Below are 26,241 nucleotides of genomic sequence, written 5' to 3'. Positions count from 1 at the left end.
GAGGCCCCAGACCTGGTCTCTGCTCAGTGTCACCCTGTCCTGTCCTGACCTATCACCCACTGGTGTCCCCTCCCTCTGTCTCTGCGTTGACGGCGGAGGTGGGAAGGTAACAGGGAGGTCTCTAGACCCCAGCTCAGTCCCCAGCCCAGCCCTGGATCCTGAAGCCTGAACAGAAAGTTTGTCCTGAAGAGTGGACAAGAGTTCCGGAAGCGAGTCCTTAGGGCTAAGAGGAGCCACAGATTCAAGAGGTGACCAGGTGCCAGCAGGGTCTGAGGACGGGGTGCAGGGAGGTAGGCCCACACCATGGGCCAAACCCTTCCCCTGGGGCTGGGCCACAGATCCACACCCCTGTTCACACAGCGTCCTAGCCCCGAGGTGGTGCCAGCGTCTGCGGGGCGAATCCTCCAGGCAGTGAGAGACAGAGGACGAACTGGCCACTGCCTGGGCCAATCTGAGTGCTCCAGCGAGGACTCTCCTCGCATGGTGATCAGACCCCGGCACACCACACACGCCAGACACGCAGGCCCACTCCAGCGCTCGCTCATTCTCTCTCTCTGTCTCTCTCACACACACACACACACACACACACACACACACCTGGACCCAGGATACAGACCCTCAGGACAAGAATATAGCTCAGAGGTCTTCTCAGACCCCAATCTCATCCTCAGGTCAGGAGCCCCCAGGGCCCTGACAAGGCAGAAAGACACTAGCAGAGGGGCTGACTGAGGCCTCAGCCTGGGCCCCACCACAGCCCCCTCCCCCAGGCACCATGACTTCCCCCAAAAGAGGCCTCCCCACCACTGCCAAGCCCCGTAGTCCCCCACAGCTCCCCCACAACACCACCCAGTAGGCAATTAGCACCCAATCATCATAAGCACTCATTACATAACACCTCCAGCCGGCCGAGGGTCCCTTTCACCCCTACAGCCCCGGCTCCGACCCTGGCCTGGCTTCATGCAGCGAGGCCTCCGCCCCGCTGGGGTGCCAGCCAAAGGGGGGGTCTCCGCCACCCCCGCCTCCGGGAAAGTTAAACCCTGCCCGGGATTCCCCCATCCAGTGGCCCCCGCTGCCGCGCTCCCAGGCCAGCGCTCCCAGCTCAGCCCGCCGGACACGGGCACCAGCTCTGGCCCAGCTGCCCGCAGAGCCGCAGCCGCGGAGGGGCGGCCGGACGCGCGGACAACCCGGGCCCCGGCCGGCAGCCTGACTTGTTGAATAAATTTCTGCAGCGCTGGCTCAGCTGGCTTCAGTATTGGCACCGAGAGAACTTTCGTGGCCTTGGAGAGAGGACCGGTCAAAGTTTCCTGTCCTTCCTCCCAAGGCATGGCCCCGAAGGCGCGGGATGGGGGGCTCACCTGACGGGTACGCGCGGGTGGGGAGGATCGATCCCCAGAAATAAATAAATAAATGCCCCAGTGAAGAGAGAAGCCAACGCGCCAAGAAACTGGCATCGAAGCGAAGCCCTCCCTTCCTTCCCCCCACCCACCCAGCCCCCACCTACCTTGGCATGGACGTGGCCCGGCCGCGGGGGGTCGTCCAGGTTAGAGACGCGGGGACAACGCGTCCCCACCCGAAGCCGGCGATCGAGAGGGACCCCCAGCCCCGCCAGCCGACCCCCCGCCAATTCAGGATCAGCTGAGCCCCCGGGGCGCGGGGGGCGGCGGGCGGGGGGCGGCGGGCCCGGGGGCCCGGGCCATGGCGGGAGGAGGAGGAGGCGGCGGGCTGGAGGGACGGCGAGGCTCTGGGCGGGCGGCGGGCGGGAGCGCGGCGCTCCGGGCCGGGGCGGGGGCGCGGGTGCTGCGGGGACCGAGCAGCGGGGCAAGTGCCCGGGAGAGACCAGCGCGGCGGGGAGCGCGGGGCTGAGGCCGGTCTCTCGCCTGCCTCGGCTCTGCTCGCGCCTCCGGCTCAGGGCTCGAAGCGCGGGGTCTGCGCGCGGCGGGGGCTGCGGAGGAGCCCGAGCGCCTGGCGGTGCGGGGACGTGCGGCGGCGGCGAGACCGAGCCGCGCTGCGTGCGAGGAAAAGCCGTCCTTATACTGACACCAAATGTCTTCGGGGAAAGCTGCAGGCGCGGGACGCTGGAGGGGGGAGGCGTGGAGGCGACAGACAGACTGACGGCGGCGGCTGGTGAGCTCCCACCCCTTCCCAGAGGGTAGGAAGCCCCCAGCCCGCGGCCAGCTCCTTAAAATCCAGGTTCTTGCCTGGGGTGGGGTCCTGACCCCTCAGCATGGGGGCTGCGTCATGAGTAAAAAGAGGTGGGTGGGGGGCATTACTGACCACCCCCGGGTCCCAGGTGCCTGCTCTGCCACGTTCCACCCTGTCTCCTCTCTGAGATCCAGATCGGGGGTGTTCACCCCACTGCCCCGGTGAGGGGTCACCCACCTAAGACCCCAGCTCTTAAACGGTAGAGCTGAGCTAGAACCCAGCTCTAAAGGTCGCTCAACCGCCCAGGCTGCCTCCACACTTCTCATTCACAACCCTGCTTCTTCCCACCCTCTAGGCTTGGCTGAAAGGCCACCTCCTCCAGGAAGGCTTCTCAGAGGGCCCCCAGGTGAAACAGATGCCTCTATCCGGCTGCAAAGGCTTCATTCTCACCACTTTCCAGGACCCTGTCACACCAGTTCCCCCAATCCCACGCTCCTGAGGCCTGTCTCCCTTCCTCTCTCACCCAAGGGCTGTGGATTGGGGAGAGGGAGTGTTCAAGGTTATAACCCCCTTTTATTTGTTCATTTGCATCCAGCCAAACAAATTAAAAGCACCAAGACTCTCCCCAATGCAGGCCAAATGGTCTACTCACTGCCTCACAACTCAGGAAGCATTTAGTGAACACCTGCTGTGTGCTAGGCACTTCTTTAAACTGCCTGGAGTTCCACCCTTTTGCCCCCATTTTACCGATGAAGAAACTGAGGCCAGAGATGAGCTGCCTGGTCAAGGTTACTCCGCTGGGAAGCAGCAGCCCCCAGTACGAGTCCAGTGCTCCCAACCCCTGCCCAGATGTTGTCACACTGGGCTGCCCAGCGTAACCCTCTCCACCTCTTTGGAGAATGTGTGGTGAGGGGCACCAGGGGGTTGCTGAGGGCTGCCCTGAGCCCCCCCACCCCTCCGATGCTGGCAGATAGTCACAGCTTTAGAGAAAGGTACACTCAGGTTTGATCCCAGCTCTGCTGCTTCCTGACTGAGGATGGGAAGCAAAGCCCGTTAACATCTCTGAGTCTCAGGTGCCTCATCTGTGAAATGGCGATAAGGTTTCACACTTTGCAGGATGCAAACCATCTTTAAAGGGCTTAGCACAGTGTCTAACACATAATAGGTGTCCAACAAATATTCATCCCTTTCTAGCTTTTAGTCTAAGGAGACAAAACAAGCCTTTGTCTCCAGACTCCAAGGCAAGGTCGTCTAAGCACACACGGGCTGAGAGGTGTCTTACAGGTGTGAATTCAGCAAGCCAGACAGCCCTGCAGGTGGGACGGATTTACATCAGATCAGAGTGGGCTTCAGATCAGGAGTCTTCAGGGAAGCCTCATCAAAGGCGAGAGACTTGAACTGAGCCTTGAAAGCTTGTACAGGATCGAGATAAGAAGAGAGAAGGTGGGTAGAGAAATGGCATCAAGGAGGGAGAAGGCATGGAGGCAGGAACAAGGTAGCATGGCAGGCACTCCATGCCCCGAGCAGCTGAATGCACAGCTAGAAAGCCGCAGGCCTGGAGGGTGAAAGAAATCAGGCGGCATGATGGGGAGAAGATACCAACCACCACCAACTTCTTCCCATTCTCCTCCAGGGACATTTTCATAAAGCAAAGTTCAGAAGACTGGACAGGACCTCGAGAAGCCACCAGACGGTGAATTCTCAGGTCTGGGTCCCTTCAGCTATAGTCTTCCGAAGTGGCCACCCTGTCCCTGCTTGTACACCTGAGGTGATGTAGATCTCACCACCTCCTGGGGCAGCTCCTCTGCTCTCTGGGTATTTCTGATCATTCAAAGCTCTTTTACAGATTTGAGCAGAAATCTGCTACCCTTCGTGATCTGGGTCCCTTCCTTGTCTTGACAGGACTAACACTCCCACCTCAGCCTCCTTCAAGCATCTATACTAGCAGAAAGTCCTGTTTTATATCTAACCTTATGTTTCTTTTTTTTTTTTTTTTTTTTTTTTGAGACAAGATCTCACTCTGTTGCCCAGGCTGGAGTGTAGTGGCTCAATATCAGCTCATTGCAGCCTCAACTTCCCAGGCTCCAGTGATCCTCCCACCTCAGCCTCTGAGTAGCTGGGAACACAGGCACACACCACCACACCTAGCTAATTTTTTGTACTTTTTGTAGAGACGGGGTTTCACCATGTTGCCCAGGCTGGTCTCGAACTCCTGGGCTCGAGCGATCTGCCCACCTCAGCCTCCCGAAATGTTGGGATTACAGGTGTGAGCCACCGTGCCTGGCCCATGCTTTATGTTTCAACTAAAACCCTAGGCCAGGCATGGTGGCTCACACTTGTAATCCCAGCACTTTGGGAGGCTGAGGTGGGTGGATCATCTGAGGTCAGGAGTTCAAGACCAGCCTGGCCAACATGGTGAAGCCCTGTCTCTACTAAAACTACAAAAATTAGCTGGGTGTGGTGGCAAACGCCTGTAGTGCCAGCTACTCGGGAGGCTGAGGCAGGAGAATCGCTTGAACCCAGGAGGCGGAGGTTGCAGTGAGCTGAGATCATGCCACTGCACTCCAGCCTTGGTGACAGAGCAAGACTCCATCTCAAAAAAAAAAAAAACAACAAAAAAAACGTAGTTGTCCACTCTATCTCTGTCACTATTCTGCCCATCCCACGATCCACCCAGGATAGGGAGTGAGTTATGTGGATTTGAGGGATGACCCTGAAACCTACTGGGGCTGAAAGTACCACTCCATGTCTTAGCAAGAAGCAAGACTGGGGAGGTCCCTCCTGAGGGCCCTGGCTGACTGCAGGAGCTTCATCCATTCATTACTGCTATTTATGTTGTGCCTGGTAATTGCAGAAGGCTGCATCAGCCACACATATTTGTTGGTCCTACCATGTCCTGGGAGTAGGGCTGCCAGGCCACTACCAGAGGGTGGACGAGGTAGACCCCAGCCTGGAGCCCCCTAATGCACCCCCCTGACAAATGAACCAGGCTCCCTACCACCTCCCTAGACCCGGAATCCCCTGCCCTCTTCCAGGGACAAAGCCCAACCAGGCTCTTCCTTGCTGCTGCAGCAGCTGCTGGGCCCAGGCTCACCTCCGCCCCCCAGAACTTTCTTGCAATTGTAGTGGCTGGATAGAAAGGGATCATCTGTCCATGGGGACAAATAAACAAGCTGGGCTGAAGGAAACTGGGGCAGAATTCCTGCCCTATGACATGAAATGAGGTCCCTTCCAGGCCTAAAGATCTTAATAGCACAGGGACAAAGATTCCAGTATGCTCAGAATTCACACTGATTTATTTCTCAGATGCTCACAGATCCTTTATCTGTGCCAGGCCCTGGTCTAAGCACTTGACAAAAATTAACCCCCTTAATTCTTACCATAATCTTGTAAAATCGGGCCAGGCGCAGTGGCTCACGCCTGTAACCCCAGCACTTTGGGAGGCCCAGGTGGGTGGATCACTTGAGGTCAGGAGTTCAAAACCAGCCTGGCCAACATAGCAAAACCCCATCTCTACTAAAAAATACAAAAACTAGCCAGGCATTGTGGCATGCACCTGTAGTCCCAGCTACTCAGGAGGCTGAGGCAGGAGAATCACTTGAACCCAGGAGGCAGAGGTTGCGGTGAGCCGAGATCATGCCACTGCACTCCAGCACTCTGGGTGACAGAGCGAGACTCTATCTCAAAAAAAAAAAAAAAAAAAAAGAAAGAAAGAAAGAGAAAAGAAAAAAATCTTGTAAAATCATTGCTACCATTTTACAGGTGAGAAAACATTGGCACAGAGAGGTTAGGTAACTTGCTCAAAGTCACACAGCTAATAAATGGCAGAGCTGGGATTCCAATTCAGGGGGTCTGTGCTCTTAACTAGGATCCTATGTTCTAAGACTCAAAAGCTCTAAGATTCCAGGTTTCCAGGATTCCAAACTGACAGAGTGGCTCCACCTACTAAAGGAGGAAGGGAACTGGCCTGAGTTACCCTCCCTCCATAGGCCACCCCCCGGTGGAGCACATTCCTCTGGGACATGGAGAGGGGCCTCTCTCACCAGCCCTGCTCAGGCCCCAGAATCCCAATCACGCTGCAAGCAGTGATGTGGCCTGAACACCTAAGAACCAGGCCGAAACAGGAGCACTGGGCCCCAAATGTCCCTGGCCTGGGAGCAGTCCACCATGATAGGAGAAAACCAATGGCAGAATGCAAGCTTCAACAGTCCAAAAGCATCTGTTAATCACCTCTGCGTACCAGGCCTGTGCCATGGCTGGAGGACATTACGAGATGGAAAATTCTGGAAGTGCTGACTGTGGGTAAAACAGGGAGGAGATTTGGAATGAGACCCTAGGGAGGATGGGCCAGACGCTGGGCTTCCCATATGTGATGGGGCAGGCTGAACCCCAGCACCTGTGGGCACCTTGATGGGTTTGAAGAGGCCAAGATGGACCCAGAGCCCAGTCTGGAAGGTAGTGGCTGGATTGTTCTGCAACATAAAGAGAGAAGAATCAGAAGGTCCAGAGAGAAAAGAGTGGAGAGGGAAGGGAGAGGAGAGAAGAGATTGCAAGATGGAGGAGACCAGGGACACGCAGAGGGGGACGCACCTGGGGGGATCCCCCAGAAGCGGGGGGACTTCGATTTGAAGTGGTTTGCATGGCTGCAGTGTCAGTGTCCCTCCCCTGCCAAGTCCCCAGGAACATCTGCTGGACCCACAGGGGTACTCAGTGTGTGGATATCAAGAAAGGAGCCGAGCTCCCCCTCAGTGCTGACATGAACAAGAACAGCCCTGGGCATGTCACCCAGTCCATCCCCAACTGCACTAAGCCAGCAGAAGCAAAAGGTCAAAGCCAGAGGGGTCCAGGAGAACACTGGCAGCCCCCCAAGATTGCTGCATCCCTAGGAATCTGGGCAGGAAGTGTGGGGGTGGAGCTGGCTTATGTAGCTGAGAAGCAGGGAGCCCCTGGGCCCGGCTGCAGGTGTCCACTTCTTCTATCAGCCCACTTAACCCCCAGCAGTCCTAGGTGACAGGGATCATGCAGCTCCACTTACACTCGGGAGAACCAGAATCCGGAGAAATTAAGTAAATTGCCCAGAGTCACACAGCTAATAAGTAGCATAAACAGGATTCTATGCCAGAGTGCATGTGTGTGCGCATGTGTGTGTGTGTGAGAGAGAGAGAGAGAGAATCTATCTCTGCCCAGGACAAAAGCCTATCTATCTGCCCAGGACAAAAGCCTGGAGTGGGGGCAGAGCATAGCTGGGGACAGACCCCAGGAACCTCAAGTTCCTGCCAGGTCGGAGGTCCCTGACTCTCAACCAAAACAGGTAGCTGATGCCTGAGGAGCTTCCTGGACAGGGCTCAGAGAATCCAGTCTCTACTAACAATACAGAAATTAGCCGGGCGTGGCAGCATGCGCCTGTAATCCTAGCTACTCGGGAGGCTGAGGCAGGAGAATTGCTTGAGCCCAGGAGGCAGAGTTTGCAGTGAGCCAAGATCGCGCCACTATACTCCAGCCTGGGCAATAGAGCGAGACTCCATGTCAAAAAAGGAAAAAAGAAAGAAATTGAGTTCAAGAGAGCTGGTGTGACAACAGTTACACGCCAGGCCATCACTCAGTGATGTTTATTGACCACCTACTAAGTGCCACGTGTCAGGTATACAGAAACAGATGAACCCCAGCCCTGTGGGGAGAAGCCACATCTGGACAACCTGGATTTAAGCTCGGAAGAAAGGAGCTGGGAGCCCCCAGGAGGAAACGATATTTTCTGGGGTCAGACCAGGAGGGCCAAAGAAGGCTCCACAAAGGGAGAGACAGTGAAGGCCTAGAAGGGACAACAGGCAGTGGGCAGATCTGAGTTTTCCTAGCCAAGTATTGGAGGAAGGGCATCTCAAGCCAAGGGACAGCAGGAGCAAAGGCCCGGAGAGCATCAGGTTAAAAAAGACATGGGGGTCTGGGCGCAGTGGCTCACCCCTGTAATCCCAGCACTTTGGGAGGCTGAGGCAGGTGGATCATCTGAGGTCAGGAGTTCGAGACCAGCCTGGCCAGCTTGGTGAAACCCCGCCTCTACTAAAAATACAAAAATTAGTCAGGCAGGGTGGCAGGCGCCTGTAATCCCAGCTACTCGGGAGGCTGAGGCAGGAGAATCTCTTGAACCCAGGAGGCGGCAACCTAGGTTGCAGTAAGCTGAGATCATGCCATTGCACTCTAGCCTGGGCGACAGAGCAAGACTATCTCAAAAAAAAAAAAAAAAGAAAGAAAGAAAGAAAAGAAAATGACACTGGGGAAGAGGTGGAAGAGGGACCGGAAAGCCCAGCTTAGGAGCGACGGAGCCAGAGAGGAGAGTGGACGATGAAAAGAGGAAAAATCACCTTGAGGTGCAGGGGGTGGGGACCCTCTGCCCCTGCTGGCTTCTGTCCACCTCTGTCTCTGTCTCTTTGGGCGTCTCTCTCCTGCTTCCTGTTTCCCTTGCCTGGCTCCCTTCCTCCTTGGCGTTTCTCTGTCTTACCCTTTCTCTGGCTCTCTCCATGCCCCTCTGTCTCTCTGTCTCCCTAACTCTTCCTGTCTGTCTCTTGCTCTCCCGTCTCCCCGCTGTGTGTGTGTATGTACATCTCTCACGCACGTGTGCCCTCACACTCTTCCTTTCTGCCACTCCTGCTGCTTGGAGATAGAATAATAGAGCAGGCAACTATCCCTTTTATCCTCAGCTGGACAAAGTCCCGGCACCCGGGCAGTCAGGCTTCCAGGCAAACACCCTCAATGTCGCCATCAAGGAGAGACCATGAGGCCTGTGTGGTGGGAGTGGGTCTCAGGCTGGAGGCGCTGTAGTTGGCCAGGTCATTACTGTAAGCCTGGGCCCTGCCCTGTGGTCTTTCAAGCCCTGATGGCTTAGGATGGGCATTTGAGGGAGCAGGCAAGCTTTGCCCAGAGGCAGAAGAGGCAGCCTCAGCCTCCCGTGGCACTTGAATTCCACCGTCAGGGCTACAGTGCTTTCTTGCAAGGTTTTGATCATTGTTAAAACCAGAACCTCCTGGAAAGGATTATTCAGTCCAGTTTGCCAGCTGAGGCCAGTTCTGTGCCTTCGCCATATGTGGGTTTTGGAGAATATTCACCAGCCCTGCCCTCAGTTCGGCTGTGGTCTTATGGGGTTAGAAAAAGCTATCATGAGATGTTGCCACATAGAGAGTGCCTTTGCCTCCCTCAGGCCTGACTCCTCCAGGGCAACCCCAGGCAGAATCAGTGGTCCTTCCCTCCAAACTCCTGCCCTGTCTCCATGGCCCCCCTCTGTGCCACCCCAGCCAGACTGGGAGCCCTACAAAGCAGGACCCGTTTGTAGAGACCAGAGCTGGGCATAGAGGGAGTGCCAGCAGGTTTGCTGAAGGAATGAATGGGCAGTGATCCTCACACACAGGAGGCTGTGATGGGGCAGCTTTGCCTCTTCAGCAGCTACCCCCAAGCTCCCACCATGTGCCAGGCCCAGTTTGGGCCCTGGAGGTACAGCAGTGAGCAAAACAAAGTCCTGGTCCTCTTGGAGCTTATATTTTAGTGGGGAAGTCAGAAGATAAATAAGTAAAATATATAGTACCTCAGATTCTGATCTGCCTGTAGAGCAAATTAAAGCAGATGTGGTGGGTGGGGAGTAAGGATGGGGTAGGGGGAGTCTTGTCATTTTAAATGAGGTGGTCAGGGACATGGTGTGACTCAAATCCTAAAAAGCAGCCAGGCACAGTGGCTCATGCCTGTAGTCCCAGAACTTTGGGAGGCCAAAACAGGAGCATCACTTGTGCCCAGGTGTTCAAGATCAGCCTGGGCAAGATGGTGAGACCCTATCTCTACAAAATCATTTTTAAAATTAGCCAGGCATGGCCGGGCAAGGTGGCTCACGCCTGTAATCCCAACACTTTGGGAGGCTGAGGCAGGCAGATCACAAGATCAGGAAATCGAGACCATCCTGGCCAAGATGGTGAAACCCTGTTTCTACTAAAAATACAAAAATCAGCTGGGCATGGTGATGTGTGCCTGTAATCCCAGCTACTTGGGAGGCTGAGACAGGAGAATCTCTTGAACCAGGGAGTCAGAGGTTGCAGTAAGCCAAGATTGCACCACTGCACTCCAGCCTGGCAACAGAGCGAGGTTCTGTCTTAAAAAAAAAAAAAAAATTAGCCAGGCGGTCGGAAGCGGTGGCTCACGCCTGTAATCCCAGCACTTTGGGAGGCTAACGCGGGTGGATAACCTGAGGTCAGGAGTTCAAGACCAGCCTGGCCAACATGGCAAAACCCCGTCTCACTAAAAAGTACAAAAATTAGCCAGGTATGGCGGCGGGCGCCTGTAATCCCAGCTACTCAGGAGGCTGAGGTAGGAGAATTGCTTCAACCCAGGAGGCAGAGGTTGCAGTGAGCCAAGATCATGCCACTGCACTCCAGCCTGGACAACAAGACCGAGACTCTATCTCAAAATTAGCTGGGCATGGTGGCATGTGCCTGTACTAAGTGCCATGTGTCAGATATATACTCAGGAGGCTGAAACAAGAGGATAGCTTGATCCCAGGAGTTCGAGGCTGCAGTGAGCTATGATCACGACACTGCACTCCATCCTGGCAACAGAGTGAGACCCCATCTCTAAAAAAAGAAAAAAAATCCTAAAAAGCTTGCCCTCATTGCTATATAGAATAGACTGGGAGAAAGGTGTCACTCTGGAGCAAAAAGGCTGTGCAGGTTCCTTGGTTCCTGAAACAAAGGGCCCTGACATCTGCACCCACCTACCCAGCTGAGGACCCAGATATTTCTCCAGGCTGGCTGAGCAGAGCCTGGGGCTCCAGCTGTCCTGCCCGCCACCAGGCGCCTCTCTCAGCTCCTCCCGTCCATCTCTCATCTCTCACACACTCTCACACACTCTCTCCCTTTCATAAAACCTTTCCAGGAATCCCTTCATGGAGGGCAGAGGCAGGCCATGGTGGGGGATGTTAGGGAGGGATGGAGGAGGCAGATGCACACTCTCCGAGGGGGAGCTCCCTGCAGGGAGTGTCTTTGAAGATGTACCCTGAATGTGGGCATGGCCATCCACGGATTCAGATGAGGGGGGCCCTTCCAGTGGGGGGCCCAGCCTCCAATTCCATTTGAAAGTCGGCATAAATTATAAATAGACATTTGGGAAGCAGATGAGCCAACCCCTATGAGGCACAGACTTGAACAAGAGTCCTCAGGATATCCGGTGACTAGCGTGTCCTCACTACTCCCCCATGCCTGTGAATTCCCTGACTGCCCCCACCAGGCCCCAGCCTGCAGAGGGGAGCAGGTTCATCACACACCTCTGGCACATGCAGAGCAGGAATCAGAGAAACCAAGAAACTGGACCAAGGTCACACAGCAGAAAGTTACAGGGCAGGGCCTGAAAGCCAAGCCCATGCCCACCCCACTCCCCTTGCCCAGCTAGGTCCAGATAAGCCCAGAGCCTGCAACCACCTCAATCTCAGCCTGCAGAGGTCTGGGGGTCCCCTTGCACCCTGACCCCCCAGAGCAAACTTGGGGGTGGTCTCTGATGTTTAACTCAGAGTATTCACTTCCCAGGCATGCAGCTGCCCTCCCCCCAAGGGAGAATAAACACATGGAGACATTGACACACAATCTCACACTCCCACGTGTGCACACACAGATACACACACTGACACATTCACACAGACCCACAAACACCCTCACGTGTACACCCAAACAGATACCACTTTTGTTAAATACACTCTCACACCAAGATACAAAATCACACAAATACATTCACACTCCCTCTCAAGTACACACAGACACATCATGTTATTATTATTAAGTTCACCCTCACACAAACACAAGCACAAATAGATCCTTTCCCAAATGCACTCGAGAAGAGGGAAAGACATTGGTACTAGAGACAGAGGGAAAAGAGAGAGAGAGGAGGAAGATAGAAAAAAATCAAAGGAGAGGGAAGAGGAGGGAACTGACTGATGGGGAGGGGATGAGTTTAGAGCATCAAAGAGGTGAAAAATTGGGGGAGAAAGACAGGAGAGGAGAGGGGAGAGATGAGGAGAATGAGATAAAGAGATAAGGAGGCAATAAGGGAACCAAGAAGGATGAAGAGGAGTGAGAGGAGAAGGGAGCCTGTGATTGGAGCCTAACTTTAGCTGCAGCAGCAGTGATGACTCACACTTCGGGGGGAGCATTGAGCCAGCTCCAGGTTTCTGTTTATATTCCTCGATGAGCTAAATATACAGGCAAGGGGTTCTTCTGTTCTGGTCCAGCAGCTCCTGTGTTCTTCCTCCCACCCTCGCCTCCCCTCCCCTCTACACACACTCAGAGCCCCTGCCTCCTCTCCCTCTCCATGCCCACAGGGTGCTGCCTGTGCTCTCCTGCAGCCATTGGCACACATCCTAACCTGGCCCACAGTTCTTCCCACTAGGGAGTCAGTGCTAGGAGCTGACCATGGGGTTGGGCTCTGAGCTTAGAAATAACATGGTCCAAAGAGCCCCTTTCTGAAGCCAGGAAATCAAGTGGAAGGGGGCGATGATTGCCCAAGGTCACACAGCAGGCAAGTATAAGATGAACCACGCCAGTCTCCTGTGGCTGCCAGGCCAGACACTCCCCCAGAAGAAGGGAATGAAGGCCTGGGGTAGTGGGGCTGAGGACCCATGACAAGGGGCTGGAGAGGGGAGAGTGGGGTGTGAAGGGAGAAAAAACAAGAGCCAAGGCTTGCAGACCACAGAAAAAGTGGAAGTGTGTATGTGTGTGTATGTGTGCACATGCATGCACTCAAACTTGTTGGGGTAGGTGGAGGGGTGGTCAAGGGTCTTGGAAACAAAGGAGGGAGTGAATACCATTGGCAAATAATCTCTCGATCCCTGAGTCTAGGGATCCCCCTGCATCCTGACCCTCCAGAGAAAACTGGTGGGGAGGGTGGTCTTCGATGCTTAACCCACAGCGTTCACTTCCCAGGCACAGAGCTGCCCTCCCCTAAAGGAGAAGAAATCCACGGAGACACTCGCAGCCCCACATGTGCACACACACACAGACACAGAGACTGACACGTTCACACAGACCCACAAATCCCACAAACATCCTCACACGTACACCCAGATACTACTTGTATTAAATACACTATTACACCAAGGTACAGATTCACGCAAATACGTTCGCATTCCCTGTCGAGTACACACAGACACATGTATGTTATTATTAACTGTGGAGGGAGAGGTGGTAGGGGAAGGTGCAAGTGTGGTCAAGGGTCTTGGAAACAAAGGAGAGAGGGAATTTTATAGGAAAATTATCTCCAGATCCACAAGGAGCTCCTCCGACATCATCAGCACCCCCGATCCAGCTCCCTGCACCCCGACCTCCTGAGTCAGCGTTCAAGGCCTTTTGCTACCCAACAGCGGGTCATAAACCTACAAAACCTACAGAATAACTTCCTGAGCCAACCGCACGCCAACTGCGCGCCGGGCTGCTGTCCGTGGTGCTGAATTCCGCTTCGCCTCTCCGTGCCCTGGAAGGTGGCGATTCCCGCCCTAACCTCTCCCAGGAAGGAGTTCAGTAGGATTGAGGGAAGAGGCTGCGGCAGGAAGGAAGGGACAGGAGGAGACGAAGGACAGGGACGGTGAGAAAGGCAGCTCCTGCCAGGGGTTTTCAGGGAGAGAGAGCAGTGTTTGCTTTGACATCGCTTTCAAATAACCACAGTGACCAAGGAAAACACCACCAGCGAAGATGGCCGACAAGTCGGGGAACCACTGCAGAGGGAGACGCCCGTGTGCCCGGCTGTGCAAGGCTGGGCGAGTGTTGACACAGAAACGAATCCAGGCCGGAGGGGAGAGCCTGGGCGGGCTTGGAGTAATGTCCTCAGCTGAGCCAAACCAAAGCACTTCCAGTTTTCTCATGTTTTCGTTACCCATCTCGATGAAAAGGTTGTGAGTTTTCACACTGTCACAGAACAAACAGAGCTGTGACTTCCGTTTCCCAGGGTACGTGGCTGTTTCATGTTCTCCTGACAGCTCCATCACATTTCTGACAGTCTCTAAAATTTTGTTTTCCTCTGGGGAGGGAGAGGAGCACTAACCTTCCCTTCCCCTGGTCAGACAAAGGGGCCTCGTTGGCTGGCACACACCTGCTCCTCAGAGGTCAGTTACACTTTCCCTATCCCTCACTGACTCATGCCTCCAGGCCTCTGCACATGCTGCTCCCCCCAACCTGGAGTGCCCTCCTTTCTCCTTCGAGGCCCAGCTCCCCAGTGTCCCCCACTGGAGAGGGAGCTTCTGGAAGGCAGGAAATACCATAACTCATTGCAGCACCCCCAGCAGCTAGCACAGAGCCTGCCATACCGATTCACTTAGTTATCTGTCCTTCTATATGAGAAAAATACTTGGCTGAATATCCTAGGGTTAGGGTGGGGGTACAAATTGGTTCCTCGAACAAAAACAGTATCGCAGGTATTACAGAAGAAGAGATGTCCAAGTTTATGGATATAAACGTATTGCCTATAGCTGAGCATAGTGGCAAACGCCTGTGGTCCCAGCTACTCAGGAGGCTGAGGTGGGAAGATCACTTGAGCCTGGAAGGACGTGGGCACAATAGCTCACGCCTGTAATCTCAACACTTTGAGAGGCTATGGTGGGGAGATCATCTGAGGTCAGGAGTTCAAGACCAGCCTGGCCAACATGGCAAAACCTTATCTGTACTAAAAATATAAAAATTAGCTGGGCAGGCCGGACGCGGTGGCTCACGTCTGTAATCCCAAAACTTTGGGAGGCAGAGGCGGGTGGATCACGAGGTCAGGAGTTTGAGATCAGCCTGACCAATATGGTGAAACCCCATCTCTACTAACAATACAAAAATTAGCTGGGCGTGGTGGTGCGCACCTGTAATCCCAGCTACTCAGAAGGCTGAGGCAGGAGAATTGCTTGAACCTGGGAGGCGGAGGTTGCAGTGAGCTGAGATCGCGCCACTGCACTCCAGCCTGGGCGAGTGAGACTCCATCTCAAAAAAAAAAAAAAAAAAAAAAAAAAAAAATCTGGGCATGGTGGTGTGCGTCTGTAGTCCCAGCTACTTGGGTGGCTGAGGCTGGAGAATCGCTTGAACCCAGGAGGCAGAGGTTGCAGTGAGCCGAGATCACATCATTGCACTCCAGCCTGGACAACAGAGCGAGACTCTGTCTCAAGAAAAAAAAAAAAAGAAAAAAAGAAAAGAAAAGAAAAGAAGGCCGAGCACGGTGGCTCATGCCTATAATCCCAGCACTTTGGGAGGCCAAGGCGGGTGGATCACCGGAGGTCGGGAGTTCAAGACCAGTCTGACCAACCCCGTCTCTACTAAACATACAAAATTAGCTGAGGTGGTGGCTCATTCCTGTAATCTCAGCTACTCAGGAGGCTGAGGCAGGAGAATCCCTTAAACCTGGGAGGCGGAGGTTGCAATGAGCCGAGATTGCGCCATTGCACTCTAGCCTGGGCAACAAGAGCGAAACTCCATCTCAAAAAAAAAAAAAGGAAAGAAAAGAAAAAGAAACTTACTGCCTAAATCAACCTTAAAGACAATTGAATAGAATCTTCCCCCCCACCCTTGGTACCATTTTGCAGATGAGAAAACTAAGGCTGAGAGAGAAAAGGCCTCTTGCAAGATTGTCCAGGAAGACAGTGGTATCTGAGACTGTGGGAAGGATCTTTCTGAGCAGGAGGAGTGGGGGCCGGCTCTCTCTCTTAGGCCCCTGGGCTGGCCTGGGCCAAACACACCTCTCCGGAGAGAATCTTTGAGCCCAGCAGGAAGATGGCCCCACCTCCCCTCCTCCACCACTCCACCTGCCAAAGGATCCCAGCCATCAAATAATGAACGATTCCTAATTTACTTACAACTTTAATTCATCTGGGTCTCTGAGGAACTAGGGACTGGAGACTCAGCTGGAGTCTGAGAAACACTCAGTAATTCCCAAGAGGGAGGGAGGATTTCCTCTCCTGTTTCACAGAAGGGAGAAGGAGAGACTAGAAGCTCTCATTTTCCTGCAGAACTCTGTATACCACTGCTTCCCTGCAAGAAATCCCCCTTCAGACTTGAGCTTTGGGTCGGGGAGGCAGGGGGTAGAGAAAGTAAGGGACAGAGGAGAACGCCCCCACGTGGTACTGGAAAGCACACAGGGCTCGCGCACGCAGCCGGGGAATTGGTTGCAGATGGCCGTATGATCATAATCCTGGTGAGCGTTTCTTGAGGTCTTCTCTTGGCAGGCACTTTATCTGACTTAACTTTTGTTTTGGGGTTTTTTGTTTTTTTGTGTTTTTTGGTTTTTGTTTTTAGATGGAGTCTCGCCCTATCACCCAAGTTGGAGTTCAATGGCACGATCTTGGCTCACTGCAGGCTCTGCCTCCTGGGTTCAAGCGATTCTCGTGCCTCAGCCCCCTGAGTAGCTGGGATTACAGACGCATGCCACCATGCCTGGCTAATTTTTGTGTTTTTAATAGAGATGCGGTTTCACCATGTTGGCCGGGCTGGTCTTGAACTCCTGACCTCGTGATCTGCCCACCTCAGCTTCCCAAAGTGCCGGGATTACAGGCGTGAGCCACTGCCTGTGTGAGCCTGGCGGGATTGTTTTTTTTTTTTAAGATAGAGTCTTTCTCTGTTGCCCAGGCTGGAGTGCAGTGGCGTGATCATGGCTCACTGCAACCTCGAACTCCCAAGTTCAAGCAATCCTCCCACCTCGGCCTCTCAAAGTGATGTATTGGGTGGCTCACACCTGCAGTCTCAGCAGTTTAGGAGGCCAAGGTGGGAGGATTGCTTGAAGCCAGGAGTTTGAGACCAGCCTAGAGAACATGATGAGACCCTGTTTCTACAAAAAAAAAAGTTTTAATTAGCCGGGCATGGTGGCATGCACCTGTGGCCCCAGCTACTAGGGATGCTGAGGTGAGAGGATCATTTGAGCCCAGGAAATCAAGGCTGCAGTGAGTTGTGTTTGCACCACTGCACTCCAGTCTGGGCAACAGAATGACACCCCACCTCCTCCACATTCCAAACGGCCCCTGGCACATAGTAGCACTCAACAGATTTTTTTTAACCTAAACAAATGGTTTGACACTTATTCATTCATTCAACAATGGCATCTGGCACATAGTAGGTGTCATGCATCTACCAGGCACCACTGGGGGCTCCAGCCACAGCAGAGGAACAAGACAGACCGAAGCCCCAGGTGCTTACGTTCTGTGGGGAAAGACAGACAAGAAGCAAGATGAAGAAGTAAGCTGTGAGTTTGGGTGGGGGCTGGGGGGCGTCAAGGGCTGTGTCAATGGCTGCCACCTGTGGAGTAATTACTGCCCTGCCTGGCTGGCGGTTTCTCACCCCACCCTCCTGGCCACATTTTGAGGTGGGTGTGATTATTCTTTTCATTTCATAGATGAGGAAACTGAGGCAGAGGCAGGGTAAGTCTCTGGCCTCTGGTCATAGACAGAATCTGAACCAGGCCATCTGCCTCCAGAGTCCCTGCTAGAAGCCACCATGCTAACTGGGGGCGGAGGGTGGGATGTCTTAGACAATGCCCAAGCTGCCAAGCGCAGTGGCTCACTTGCATAATCCCAACATTTTGGGAGGCCAAGGCAGAGGATCACTTGAAGGCAGGAGTTCGAGACCAGCCTGAGCAACACAGTAAGATCTCATCTCTACAAAAAATCAAGGCCAGGCACAGTGTCTCATGCCTATAATCCCAGCACTCTGGGAAGCCTAGGCGAGTGGACCACCTGAGGTCAGGAGTTGCAGACCAGCCTGGCCAAGATGGCGAAACCCCGTCTCTACTGAAAAAAAATACAAAAATTAGCCAGGTGTGGAGACAGGCGCCTGTAATTCCAGCTATTCGGAAGGCTGAGGCAGGAGAATCGCTTGAGCCCGGGGCATAGAGGTTGCAGTGAGCCGAGATCGTGCCGCTTCACTCCAGTCTGGGCGAAAGAGCAAGACTCCGTCTCAAAAAAAAAAAAAAATCAAAAGATTAGCCAGGCGTGGTGGTGTGCACCTGTAGTCCCAGCTACTAGTGAGACTCTGTCTCAAAAAAAGAAAAAAAAAAAAAAAAAACAGAAAAAGAAAATGCCGAAGCCAAAACTCTTCCAAAGCTCTGTGTGCCTGTGAGCAGGGTTCCTTCACAGAGAGAGCCACACACAGTGTCACACAAGGCCCCACCCTCAGAAGGGCCTCATGCTTGGCTAATGCTCTGCTGTGGCCACCTCGAAATGTTTAACAATTTTCTAACAAGGGGCCCCGCCCTTCTTTTTTAGATGGAGTCTCACTCTGTCACCCAGGCTGGAGTGCAATGGCGTGATCTCAGTTCGCTGCAAGGTCTGCCTCCCAGGTTCAAGCAATTCTCCTGCCTCAGCCTCCCGAGTAGCTGGAATCACAGGTGCCTGCCACCACACCTGGCTAATTTTTGTATATTTTAGTACAGACAGGGTTTCACCATGTTCGCCAGGCTGGTCTCAAACTCCTGACTTCAAGTGATCTGCCTGCCTCGGCCTCCCAAAGGGCTGGGATTACAGGCATGAGCCACTCTCCCGGCCAAGCCCTGCCTTTTTATTTTGCTGTGGGCTCCACATATTACATAGCCAGTGCTGCCCTCAGGGTAACAATGCTTTGCCTGGTGTTCAGGCCCCCAGCTGGTTTCCTTCCCTGCCTCCCCTCCTTTCCAACTCTGGCACCACCAGCCCTTATCACACCAAGGCAGGGTCTCTCTGCAGGGACAGCACCACTCTTTTCTGTGTCTCCAAAGCCCAGCCCTGAGGGACAGAAAATGGAGACTCAGGGAGCATCTCCTGGGTTGGATACCACGGGCTGGAATGGACTGAACTGGCCCCCTGTTGGGGGTCTTCGTGGAGTTTGTTGGTCCAGTGTTCAACTCTTTTCTCTTTTCTCCTCTGAGCTCCTACAGTTCCCTTCTGGCCACATCCTGCCTCCTGGTCCAGGGCACCTCACACAGATGCAGCCCTCCGAACACACCTACCCAAGAGCTCTGGGGTTCAGGGAAGTCCCCCTGACCTCCTCAGGCCCTGTTCCCTGCACGCTCAGCTCTACCATGCAGGGTGAACAGGAGCACACTTTTGCACCTTCTCTCTGCTGGCCAAGGGGGCCCAGAGGGGCGGACTGTCCTAGGCTGGCACCTAGTACACGGTAGGGAGCCCAAGCCCCAACACTCATTCTTCTCTAAGTCCACCTCCCAGCGACCTCATGATCCCCAGGTGTGGATTCCTCTGTGGCTGAGGAAACCCCAGGGCCTGGAAGAAGGCTCAGCTCCTGGCCAGGGAAGTGGAGAGGCTGAGGCGCAGGCTTCTTAGTCCTTTGTGTTCTCGAAGGCTGAGCCCACAGGGGGAATGGTTTGGAAGACTGAGTGAGCATGTGACTTTGAAACTGTGGCAAAGCCTGTTGCTCCTCATTGTGCCTCTGTACCCCTCCTGTGATACAGACCATGCCAGAGCCCCAGCCTGGCTTCCCAGAGGGATCAAGGGGGACTGTCACGAGGGGAACTGGAAGATGTATTAGTCAGTACATGTTAGGCTATGCTATCAAAATTCTAAAATCTCAGAACTTTAATACAACAATAGTTGGGGTTTTTTTTTAATTTTTTTAGAGGCAGGGGCTCACCTTTGTTCTTGATGGGATGCATTCTCACCAGCTCAATGTTAAGAATGCAAAATTGGGCTGGGTGTGATGGCTCACAGCTGTAATCCCAGCACTTTGGGAGGCCAAGGCAGTGGATCACTTGAGGCCAAGAGTTCAAGACCAGCCTGGATGACACAGTGAAACCCCACCTCTACAAAAAATACAAAAATGAGCCGTGTGTGGGTCAGACAAGGTGGCTCACATCTGTAATCCCAGCACTTTGGGAGGCCAAGGCAGGCAGATCACGAGGTCAGGAGTTCAAGACCAGCCTGGCCAATATGGTGAAACCCCATCTCTACTAAAAATACAAAAATTAGCCAGGCGTGGTGGCGCGCACCTGTAGTCCCAGCTACTCTGGAGGCTGAGGCAGAAGAATCACTTGAACCCAGGAGGCAGAGGTTGCAGTGAGCCAAGATCATGCCACTGCACTCCAGCCTGGGCAACAGAGCAAGACTCCAACTAAAAAAAAAAAAAAATTATTCAGGTGTGGTGGTGCATACCTGTAGTCCCAGCTGCTCCAGAGGCTGAGGCAGGAGGATTGCTTGAGCCCAGGAGGCAGAAGGTGCAGTGAGCCTAGATCGCACCACTGTACTCCAGCCTGGGCAACAGAACAAGACCGCGTATATCCTTCCCCTCCTGGCACTTAGTATAAGGCCACAATCATGGAAGCCTAGGGGCTGAAAGGTCTGCACAGAACAGCTGTGCATGCTCTCTCTTTCTCTCTCTCTCTGTCATAATTGCTAATTTATAATTTATACTCTCAGCTATTTCTAAAGAGGATTTTTTAAGTGAAATAAAAGATCAGAAACCACTAGGGAATAGGCATGAGCTAGATGTACTAGAAAGTTGACATGAACGTTTATTAGAGCTGAATAATATAGGGATATAATACAGTCATGTAATAAATTACACTTAGGACAATTGAATAATAATTTCCAACCTGAGCTTCCTACCAGCAGAGGCAAAAAGGCCTCACATATTCACCTCTTGCTGCTTCTTTTGCCAGCTGTCTTTTCCCTTCTTAAAATTTCTTCTCTTTATCCTCCCTTGTTTTCAGATCCGCTGGGAGAAGAAAGACCCCCTCCCCATTTTCTAGGTATCCATATCCAACTTGCAAGGAAAGAACAGCATAAAGTTAAATGGTTACATGATTAGCAGGATGGAAGCTTCAGCCTGAAGAAATGAGTCTACATAGGCCTTAAAGGTACGTCCTACACCATCTTTTTGGCTCCTTGTCCACAGATGGAGCAGGGAGTAGGACTTGAAGGCAGGAGACAGCCTTGACCCCACACAGGGAGCGGTCCAGGCCTCCAGGCCTTGGCTTCAGGGAGTTCCCGGGAACCTCATTGGAAGGCAGACTCCCTTCCCTGATGGCTCATACATTAATTCACTGAATCCCCAGGACGGGCGTGCAAGAGAGGACTTGTTATCTCCAATTCACAGATAGGGATACTGAGGCCAAGAAGGAGAAATGATTTGTGCATGGTTACCCAGCTCCCTTTCCCTGAAGACATGGCCTCAGGGCAGGAGCCCCCCAAGCTGTGGATGAGATGCTCAGAGTTCTGAGCTGGGGAGGAAAGGGGCTTCTGGGCAGGCCCCAGCTTGGTCTGGAAGGATCAGAAGATGGAGACTTGCTCCTCTCCCCAACCACCCCACAGACGCCAGTTGCTATGACAACAGGGCCTCCCTTCCAAGGGTATTGGTTGGAAATTTGCATTTTAATGGAGACATAATTAGAATTAAAGGACGGAGATTAGAAGGGACAGAACTCTCCCCAACCCCATTCTAGCCCCTTGGGAGCCAGAACCCCCACCACAGAGATCTTGAGGCCCCAGAACCACCCACTCCCCACGCCCTCCTCTCCCAAAGCCCTATAGGGATATTTTCTCTGCGACAAAGTGCTATGTCTGTCCCTACTGCCCAGATGGGGATAGCAAAGCCCAGAATAGAGGAGGGACTTATTCTAGATCTTACAGCGAGGTCAAGTTCCCAGAGCCAGGTGACATCCGCTCTGCCTAAGGACCTCCCATCTGACCCCAACCTACTGGTAAGGTCTTTGGGTACAAGTTGGCTTGAGGAAGGGGTGCTTGCTTGCTAAGGGGCCCCCAAGTTCTCCCCTCAGTCTTCCAAGCTCACCCTTTCCTCTTCCTGTAACCTCTTAACATCTCAGTGGCCCTGGGGACCTGGCAGGACTGGGGACTCCGCCCCATCTTTCTCCAGGGACTGGGAGGAATGTACCCAAGATCACACAGCAGGCCAGGCACTGGTGGCTCATGCCTGCAATCCCAACACTTTGGGAGGCCAAGGCAGGCAGATCACCTAAGGTCAGGAGTTCGAGACCAGCCTGGCCAACATGGTGAAACCCTGTCTCGACTGAAAATACAAAAATTAGCCAGGCACACCGGCGGGCCTCTGTAATCCTAGCTACTCGGGAGGCTGAGACAGAAGAATCGCTTGAACCCAGGAGAAGGAGGTTGTAGTGAGCCAAGATCGCGCCACTGCCCTGCAGCCTGGGGGACAGAGCAAGACTTGCTCTCCAAAAAAAAAAAAATAAAAACAAAAAAAAACAAAAAAAAAAAACTTCACACAGTAGCTTAATGGCAGAGCCGCATCTTTGGCTGGTCAGGGTGGAGACATTAAAAAGACCCCACCTTTGACCCCCACCCGGGGGTTACTGGCTGACCCCATATCTCCATGGATAATTTCCAGTAGCTTCTTCTGTGTCTTCATTATACCCTTAAAATCAGGCATGCCACTATTTCACCATTCACATGATTGGAAAGAAGCCACTTGGCCTCTGCCTGGATGCCCTGAGGGGGCTGCTGTCCCTGGGACTGGTGGGTGCCACCCTGAACCCTGCAGACCCTGGACGACAGAGACTCACACTTGCTGAGAGTGTAACACGAGCATGTGGGCACCGCCAGGCCCAACGGAGCCCTTCATTCACCCCAATGCCCGCCTCCTGCACGTGGAGCAGCTCCTGGTTCACGCTCAGCAAATGCTGGCTGGTTTTTCTCCTATTGGCTGCTCCGTCAGTGGTATCAGCAGGTATTTATTGACTGCACAGATGAATAAATGCCAGGCCTGGTGCTGAGCACATTTCATGCCACCTCACTGCACCTCCAACAGACCCCAAGCGCCCCCTCGAAGCTCAGAAAGGTGAGGTAGGTGCCCAGGTCACACATCTGCTAAGCGGCAAAGGCGGCGTCTGAACGGGAATCAGCGACTCCAGGCTGTCAGGTGTTACTCCCTGTGGCCTCCAACCTAACCGTGTGTGAGCACAAGAGTGTGGAAATCCAGAGGCGACATACAAGTGCAGGTCACACCCACAGATGGGGGCCCAGGTCCCACCGGCACACTGCTGTCCACAGAGCAATCACTGATTCACAAACTAGAGTGCTTATTCTGCGTCCAACGGAATTCCAAATGCTCAACCCTCGATCCTCACAGCAGCCTTATGAGGTAGGGATTATTATCATAGTCAACTCATAAACGAAGAAACCGAGGCACAGAGAGGTTGTGGGACTTGCCCAAAGTCACACAGCTAGTAAGTGGAAAAGCCAGGATGTACAGCCTGGCTCTGGAGCAAGTGCTCCCTTCATACCACAGGAGCCAGGAGCTCCGGGCGCCTCCCGCCTCGGCCCTGTATGGAGGACTGGACAATACTCTCTAAAGCCCCCAAAACCTCGGAAGAGGAAATGGGCTAGGGGAGGGAGGGCGGCTTGCCTGTGGACACACAGCTGTGTGAGCCGAGGCCTTGTGGAAACCGGGGCATCTGTGCCAGCCCCAGACCACCAGGACACCCTCTCCAGAACTGCTCACCTCCCAGAGACCCTACGGTCCCCTCTCCAGGGGGCCACTGGTCCCTGGGGGCCACACACATACTCTTGCTTAGGACCCGGAGACCTGGGCTTGAGTCCTGACTCTGTTCTTGAAGGGCTGCACAGCCCTGCAGAAAGCCACCTGCCTCTCAGCCTCCCAGGCCCAGGGTAGTTAAGCTGTTTCACGGAGCCTGGGAGGAGACATAGGGCATGGGGGCCGAAGGGCCCTTTATGGCGATGGTTCCTCTGTGTGGCCAAAAGCCTCAGTGCGGGGATCAGGGGCAGGCAGGGACCCAGTGTGGAAACAGGCTCAGAGCAGTGAAGCCGCTCATCCAGGGTCATGCCAGGTGGGGAACTAGCCTGGGAGACCTCATGACCCGCCCTCCCACAGGGAGACAGGAAGCAGCTGCCCAACCCCCCTCCCCCTCCCCCAGCTTGACCCATCAGGGCCAACGTCAAGACTGGCAGGTCGCAGGTGCCCAAATGCGGGCTGTGGGGTGATCTGCTTGGGCCCAACAGTGGCTGCCCCTGCCCATCCCGTCTTGCCCAGAGGGAGCAGGTAGCATGGCAGCGCTGTAGCACCCTCTACACGCAGTCCCTGGGCGCAGACCCACCCAGGCCCGGCCCACACGGCACGGTATTGATCCACCGGTTCTCACACCTCTCCTAGAAGGGGGATGCTGCCCTGCCAAGCCCCATCCAACCAATGAGGAAACTGAGGCACTCTTTGTTAAGGGATTGCTGGGGTCACACAGCTCCCAGCTGTCATTTGCACACTTTTCAGGAAGGGACCTCGCCCCCCGCCCTGGGCAGCCCAGCCTGGTGGCTCTGCCTCAGCTTCCCCAGCCACTCCTCCAGGCCAGGGTGAGAGTGGGAGGGGGTGCGGGACAGCAGGAAGCCGGGGCCACACGGTGCTGGCTGCAAGGAGCCAGCCGAGGCAGAAGGACGTCCGGACCCCCACCCCCACCTAGCCCGGGTGGGCGCAGCTGAGGCCTTGGAGTCTCGCCGCGTGAGAAAGCTGTCCTGCGGCGCCACCTATTGGCAGAAATGCGCCCGGCCCCGCGGATGTGCTGATAACTCCGCGGGAGGCTGGGGCAGCGCCTGGCCTGCCGTCCCGCCCGTGCCCGGCTGGGCTGCGGACGCTGCAGGGGTCCACCTGGCACGTTGGCAGAAAACTCCTCCACCCGGGGGACCGTGGGCTGATTCAGCCTAGATCGGGAGGAGGACAGAGCTTGGTCCTTTGCCCTCCTGAGAGGCTGACTCGCTGCACATCCCACGACCTCCTGGGCCTCAACCCAGCGGCTCACTGGCGTCCCAAACTCAGCTCTCATCCACTCATTTCGTGCGTTTCTGAACTCTTACCGTATGCCAAGCACTGTTCCAGGCGCTAGGGATATAACAATGAACAAAACAAAGATCCCTGCCTTGCGGAGCTTACAGTGGGGTATGGGCGGGGAAACAGACAATACGCAATACACATAATAAGTAAGACAACAATCCGGCTATGTTAGAAGCAGGAAGGAGGCATATGTCTGAACAGTCACTGGGTTCCAGGCCCCACACTCCCCTTAGGACAAAATCATGGAGTCTGAGGCCTTTGCGACCCTCCAGCCCAGCATGGCATCCTGAAGGGCCACTCGTGTGTCACAGGGGATAGGTCCTCGCTACAGCGGTCTCCGCCTAGAACAATCCCCGCTGCCCATACATGGTCAGCTCCTCCTCACCCTCCAGGGGCCTACCTGACCCCATGGCTTGACAGGCCCCACCCAGCACCACAGCACTGCTCTCCCTGGTGGCTGGGACAGGAGCGCCCCCACAAATCCTGCGGCCAGGCTGCCAGTCTTAACTCCCACCCCTGACTCCACCCGTGTGACCTTCGCCTCTCTGTGTTTGTTTCCTCGTCTGTAAAATGCAAAAGACAATTCCTACCTGGAAGGGTAGGGGGGATAAACAAGTTAACAAATGTAAAGCACGTAGAACAGCACAAATGCTTGAGTTTGTGTTGGTTGTTATTATTACTCTCTAGCCGATGGAGCTTAAACGGTGTGGTCTATCCCGGAGGACGAACTCCAGGTCCCACACTCTGTGGTGTCAAGTACACAGAAGGCCCTCAGAACCCGGCTGAGTGAACCCAGTGGTCCCTTCTGATTCACCGTTCACTTATTGCGTGTCTTCTCCATGCCAGGTGCTGGGCTGCCAGCTGCAGATGGAGCAGCGAACAAGCCCAGGGCTCCTCCCCCAGGTAAGCAGTGTCACTTCTAGGCCAGAGGGGCTCAAATGTTTTGGTCTAAGAAGCTTCTTACATTTAAAACTTCAGAATCCCCTCACTCCTGTAATCCCAGCACTTTGGGAGGCTGAGGTGGGCGGATCACTTGAGGTCCGGAGTTCAAGACCAGCCTGGCCAACATGGCAAAACCCCGTCTCTACTAAAAATTTTTTAAAAAGAAAATTAGCCGGCCGTGGTGGCGGGCGTCTGTAATCTCAGTTACTCGGGAGGCTAAGGCAAAAGAATCGCTTGAACCCGGGAGGCGGAAGTTGCAGTGAGCCGAGATCGCTGCACTCCAGCCTGGGCGACAGAGCGAGATTCCGTCTCAAAAAAAAAATTAATTTAATTAAATAAAATAAATTTTAAAAAATTCAGGATCCCAAAGAACTTTTGTATGTAGGCA

At 54.1% G+C, this 26,241-nt stretch overlaps 1 long non-coding RNA gene across 1 annotated transcript, besides 5 other annotated features; it reads left to right on the top strand.

Moving 5' to 3' along the window:
• Window positions 1,039-1,637: an enhancer, noted in NCBI's record as "H3K27ac-H3K4me1 hESC enhancer chr22:39953934-39954532 (GRCh37/hg19 assembly coordinates)". NCBI's record gives its function as "activates a minimal SCP1, AML or CMV promoter by ChIP-STARR-seq in naive H9 embryonic stem cells {active_cell/tissue: H9 hESC(naive)}" and the evidence as "EXISTENCE:reporter gene assay evidence [ECO:0000049][PMID:30033119]".
• On the top strand, window positions 2,052-2,771 carry LOC124905120 (uncharacterized). Its single transcript, XR_007068106.1, has 2 exons — window positions 2,052-2,124; window positions 2,498-2,771. It is a non-coding gene; the product is annotated as an uncharacterized LOC124905120 (long non-coding RNA).
• Window positions 24,463-24,552: a silencer, noted in NCBI's record as "silent region_13762". NCBI's record gives its function as "represses an Ori minimal core promoter by ATAC-STARR-seq in GM12878 lymphoblastoid cells {active_cell/tissue: GM12878}" and the evidence as "EXISTENCE:reporter gene assay evidence [ECO:0000049][PMID:35858748]".
• Window positions 24,463-24,822: a biological region, named in NCBI's record as "Sharpr-MPRA regulatory region 14739".
• Window positions 24,528-24,822: a silencer, noted in NCBI's record as "tiled region #14739; K562 Repressive DNase unmatched - State 5:Enh". NCBI's record gives its function as "represses a minimal TATA promoter and a strong SV40 promoter by Sharpr-MPRA in K562 cells {active_cell/tissue: K562}" and the evidence as "EXISTENCE:reporter gene assay evidence [ECO:0000049][PMID:27701403]".
• Window positions 24,613-24,662: a silencer, noted in NCBI's record as "silent region_13761". NCBI's record gives its function as "represses an Ori minimal core promoter by ATAC-STARR-seq in GM12878 lymphoblastoid cells {active_cell/tissue: GM12878}" and the evidence as "EXISTENCE:reporter gene assay evidence [ECO:0000049][PMID:35858748]".

This window comes from Homo sapiens, chromosome 22 (genome assembly GCF_000001405.40).
Source record: "Homo sapiens chromosome 22, GRCh38.p14 Primary Assembly".
NCBI lineage: Eukaryota > Metazoa > Chordata > Mammalia > Primates > Hominidae > Homo > Homo sapiens.
This window is presented reverse-complemented; position numbering and strand designations above follow the sequence as displayed.